Source organism: Homo sapiens, chromosome 10 (assembly GCF_000001405.40).
Source record: "Homo sapiens chromosome 10, GRCh38.p14 Primary Assembly".
Taxonomy (NCBI): Eukaryota; Metazoa; Chordata; class Mammalia; order Primates; family Hominidae; genus Homo; species Homo sapiens.
Genome location: NC_000010.11, coordinates 10366056 through 10371463, shown reverse-complemented (window position 1 = coordinate 10371463; position 5408 = coordinate 10366056). Strand labels below are relative to the sequence as shown.

Genomic DNA, 5408 nt, shown 5'->3' with positions numbered 1-5408 from the left:
GATATTGCTCATGGATAATGAACACAACTAGCCGCTGAGAGAAAGAAGGCTCAGTGGTGTCCTGGTGCAAAAGTCACAGAGGGTTCTAGAGTTTTGTAGTGGGGTCCCAGTGACCTTGGCACTGTGCAAAAGCTGTGGTCAGAGAGATGACTAGAGAGCCCAGAAGAGAATTCACAGGTGAGTGGTATTGTGAAGCAATGGCAAGCTGGGATGTGGGCTTGGTTTTGCAAAGCTCTGCTTCTCTCAATTTCATGTACCTAGGAAGCGCACTTGGATCTTGTTAAAATCCAGATTTGAATTCAGCGGATCTGCAGGGAGGCCTAAGCATCTGCATTTTTTTTTTTTTTTTTTTTGGCAGCCTCCTAGGTAACACTATTGATGCTGGTCCACAGACCATCTTTGAATAGCAAGATTATAAAGAACCACACCAGGAACCTAGCTTCCCTCTAACCCCAGTTCAGCCACTTCTACTTCTTGGCTTACAAGTCCCAAGAGCTAGCTTATGAGATGGGAATGGAGTAATCTCCATTGTTTTATTTTACCAGTCATTTATCTTCTCCCCAGAGAAAATACTACTTAGTGTCTGCTGCTCGATGCCATTCCAATCCATTGCCGAGAAAGAGAAATATAACTCGTAGACACAGAGACTGTGTATCCACAAATGAAAACATGTTTCTAAAATCCGAAAAGAGCAGTCAAGATATACAGGTATTTCTGAGAGATAAAGCTTCATCCCTCATGCAAACAGGTGACCAAAATATTTCCTTTTTTTTTTTCAGTCAGAAAAACAGTAGAATAGACCTGTGCCTTTGCAAGTAGGAGAGCCCCTGCCTCTACTATGCTCCCCTCAAATCCAACTCCTAGTTCAACACAGGCTTTTACTCAAAATGGCTCTGTTTACAAGTGGCAAAGCTGAGTCACAGTGAACTCTGTGGCCACACGACGCATCCATCTATGCATGTGGATATTCTAATGTATTCTGTAATGAAGAAGATCTTGTTTTAAGATCTTCTGAGATGTTCTTCCCTCATTAATATGTAGAGATTTTTATTATTCACAGATTGCATATTTGCGAATTCACCTACTCACTGAAATTTATTTGTAACCCTCCAAACGAATACTCACTGTTGCTTTTTCAGCAGTTTGCAAACAAATGCAGAACAACCAAAAAATCTAAAGTTGCCCATCTGCCTTCCCAGGTGAGGTTGAATAAGGCACGAGGCTGTACCTGCGTCTCAGTTCTCATACTGTAAACAAGTCTCCTTCTCGTGGTCTATTTTTCATGGTTTTGTGCCTTTTGTTAGTGATTTTACTGTTTAAAATGGCCCCCAAGAGTAACGTTGGAATCTTATCTAGTGCCTCTAAGTGCAAGAAGGCTGTGGTGTGCCTTTTGGAGAAAAATCTGTGTGTTATATAAGCTTTCTTCAGGCATGAGTTTTGGTGCTGTGGGCCATGAGTTCAATGTTAATGCATCGATATGTATATTAAACGGCTTTAAACAAGAACATATGCAAAACAAGGTCACGTATTGATTAGTTGATGAAAACGTTGTAATCAGACACTCATGGGCAGCTAGCCCTGTATTTCTCTTAGCAGCAAGCGTTCAGTATTTGCTAATTCAGTGTTTGCAGTGACTTCATAGAATATAACTACTGTGAATAATGAGAATTGATTGTAGTTGCATATATTACAACCTGCAAATTCAAAGAAATCAAAGTAACTTAGGATTAAGCATATAGGCTCTGAGTGCAAATTCCATTTTTACCGTTTGCTACCTGGGAGCACTTCTGCTTCCATTTCCTCCCTGCAATAATATCTCATTCATAAGACTGCGGTGAAGTGTAAAGGAATTGGTGCATCCACAGAAACTCACACATAGGACACATTTAAAATAAGATCTGGGCAGACAGAAAGCACTCAATATAAGAGCCGTCACTATTGTTGATTATTTTATAGAGCACGAAACATAGGAAAGCTCCAGAAAAGTGTGTAATGTCACACAATAAGCAGCTGAGCTGAGCTAGGAACACAGTCCTGAGTTTAACACCAAATTCACAGGGGAAGCCATCCAAGAGAGGAGTGAGACGTGTCTGGAACATGTATACAGCATATGGCTGGCCATTGCCCTAAATATAGAGTTACGGGCTGCGTGTTGAAAGGCAGGATGGGATGGGCCAATCAACAAGGGACGTGAAAAGGGGTGCCTTTGTGGGACTGCAGCCATTTCAGGTGTCAGATCTGAGACCCCTTGGTTTTGCAGCTTTTTATAGAAATGTCTGTGGAAACATAATGGTAGACAGGGGTGACCATAGTTCAGCATTTCAGACATATCATCTTTTCTCTCTAGTGCTGCAGGGGTTATGCTACAAATTGAAAGATCTAGCTACATGAAACGGAGCTGACACATTGAGCCAGGAAGTCTTTTCTTCTGCAGAAAGCTCTGATCTTCAAGTTAGCCAATCTGGAAGGGGCAGATTTGACAAGAATAATTCCACATTCTACACTTGCAGGGATTGCAGGCATAGCAAGGGAATGAGGACCACAGCTGGGATTGAGGAGCTAGGAAAATAAAAACCCTAAAAATCTCAAATGTGAAACTAGGCTAGAGATAGGAGAAACTGGACATAAGATATCCCGGGCACTTCCCACCTCTGCCAGTGGGGCAGCTTCACGCTTAGAGTTGGGAGTGGGCTCCTTGGGGTGAGAGGTGCTTGGAAGGCATCCCTTTTAGTCACTACTCTCTGCACTGTGCTAACACATGCCCTCATTCTGATGTGGCATCCCACCCCAGTGAGGGGGCCACTGTGTTGCTTTTAGAAGCAGCCTCTTAAAAATACTCACCCAGGCCGGGTGCGGTAGCTCACGCCTATAATCCCAGCACTTTGGGAGGCTGAGGCGGGTGGATCACCTGAGGTCAGGAGTTTGAGACCAGCCTGGCCAACGTGGAGAAACCCCATCTCTACTAAAAATGCAAAATTAGCCAGGCAGGGTGGTGCATGCCTGTCATCCCAGCTACTCGGGAGGCTGAGGCAGGAGAATCACTTGAACCTGGGAGGCAGAGCTTGCAGTGAGCTGAGATCGTGCCATTCCACTCCAGCCTGGGCAACAAGAGCAAAACTCCATCTCAAAAAAACAAAACAAAAACAAACAAAAAAACTCACCCAGCTTTGCAAGGGGGAAGGCGCTGAAAGGTGGATCACTTGCCTTCTGGTATTCTAAGAGGGATGGCATGGATGCAGCAGAGGTTTTGCTAAGGATCAAAGAGGAAAGGGAAATCATTTCCAAGAAGAGAGCTAATAAGATAGAGGAGGATTATGAGTAAGTGTTTTAGGCACCCGATGGGGAGCTAAAGATAAAAAAGAATACTAAGTTAGAATTTTTAAAAAACAACCTGCTGAAGGAGAAAAAACAGTTATTACTGTGGGATGATGGGAACTGCTTTTCTAGAAAACACAAAGGCCTCCTTTCATTTAATGCCCTTAGCAGTCCTAGGAAGCAGGTCTGAATTCCCTCATTTTACTAGAAGAAAAACAGGCTCAGCAAAATTTTAAAACTTACTCAAAATTATACAGGCAGTCAATGGCGGAGGACAGATTCAAACACATATCTGTAGGATTTGAAAGCTTCGGCTCTTTGCACACAAAAACCCCACAAAGAACAACAATAAAAGCTAATATTTATCAAGCACTTTAGAAAGTGCCAACCACTCCTTTACAGATTTTATATGCATCAATTAATTCAATCTTCACAGCAATATGATTTATACACAATTATACCTACTTCATGAATTCAGAACCTGAGGCTTAGAGAAGGTAAGTAACTTGCTAATAATCATTACAGCTCTGAAAGGAGACCTTTGAGGGACAACTGCCAGGGGTAAAGAGAGATTTTAACTAACATTTGAATTGGTATTTACACAAAGTCTTGATGAGTGGGTACTGGGGAGTGGCAGGAAGAGGTGGTGATCTGAACTGCAGGGAGCGGACGCTTGACTACTGTGAGGACTCCTGACCCTGCCATGTTGTCACCGGGAAAATGAAGAATGAGCTAAGCCAGAGCAGCGGGACTGGAGGAAACAGCCTTACATAGAGGAAGAGAAAAATCAGGCCAGGATACTGGGAGTGAAGGTGGGGAAGCGGAGGGAAGAGGGGACCCTAGCGTCTTTGCAGCTCAGCTCAGTGGCACTAAGCAAGATGCCTGCCATGAGCCAGATGCAGGACAGGAGCTGGGTAGGTGGGAGGCATAGTCCATGGAAAGTCATCTCACTGCAAAGCCAAAGAAGTGGTTCTGAGGCCCACTCAGAAGAGGTCTCCATTTTCCCAGGAACTAAAGTCTAGAAGGAGAGAGCTCAGGGCAGCCTGGAGGCCGCAAGTGCATGGAGCAGGTGCCACAGCCTCAAGGACTGGGCATAAGGCCTGGAAGTCAAGGACACAGAGAGGGCCCCAAAAGGCACCTTTTCTGAATTAAAGCTGCACTGAGCTAAGGAGTAGCATAGGGCAGTGGCCTCCTCAATGGTTTGTCCCCCATCCCCTGGCCATGGGGACAGCTCAGGGACAGCCTGATCACATACTGGACCAAAGCTACTGGAGGTGGCAGAGGCATTTGCCTGGAGTGAGGAGCAGGTGGAGGAAGGGAGAGCTCTGACCCAACATATAGATGCTGGCAGCAAGGAAGGCCTGACGTTTGCCTCTCATGGGTGGCGGCCAACATCTGTCTTTCTGTTTCCCCAAAGCAAGAGGCTTCCACCACATGCTTTTACTAAGGATGGCTCTGTTTACAAGTGGTAGAGCCGAGTCCCAGTGATGTCTGTGGTCAAACGATGCATCTGTCTGTGCATGTGAATATTCCAGTATATGCTCGGTCAAACGATGCATCCGTCCCTGTATGTGGATATTCTAGTGTATGCTGTAACCAAGAAAGTCTGTTTCCTGTCCAGCTCTCCAGATCTCAACGGAACATCCCCTTTCTCTGACTCTCAGCTCCCGGGCATAGATGCATCTTGTGCTGGCTGAGCCATGTAACTCCAAGTACGATTTATTTTAAGAGAAAATTGCCCACCTTTTAGAGTAAATAAACTTAAGAGCAGAACCCAGCAACTTCATTTCCACTTCCTAGTGTAGCAACTGAAGAGTGAGCTTCTTTCAGCTTCAATTGCTCTTCTCAGAAAGTTTTTATTTGGCTTAATAGAAGAAAGCACAGTTTCTAGACCAAAGAGGAAGAAAATAAGACAAGGCAAGGCAAGTAAGTAAAGGACATTTCAGCTCTGACTTTTTTAATCTCCCTCCCTCTCTCTCTTTCTCAGTTTTATTTGTATTCCTGCCAGCAGTCGATTACTATATATCGTAAGAAGCGTCGTTGTAATAGGTAAAGGCATGGTATACAAATGACAAAGGAGGAATGTAACAAAA

General features: G+C 44.3%; 1 annotated feature.

Moving 5' to 3' along the window:
* Nucleotides 3820-4320: an enhancer, noted in NCBI's record as "H3K27ac hESC enhancer chr10:10409107-10409607 (GRCh37/hg19 assembly coordinates)". NCBI's record gives its function as "activates a minimal SCP1, AML or CMV promoter by ChIP-STARR-seq in primed H9 embryonic stem cells {active_cell/tissue: H9 hESC(primed)}" and the evidence as "EXISTENCE:reporter gene assay evidence [ECO:0000049][PMID:30033119]".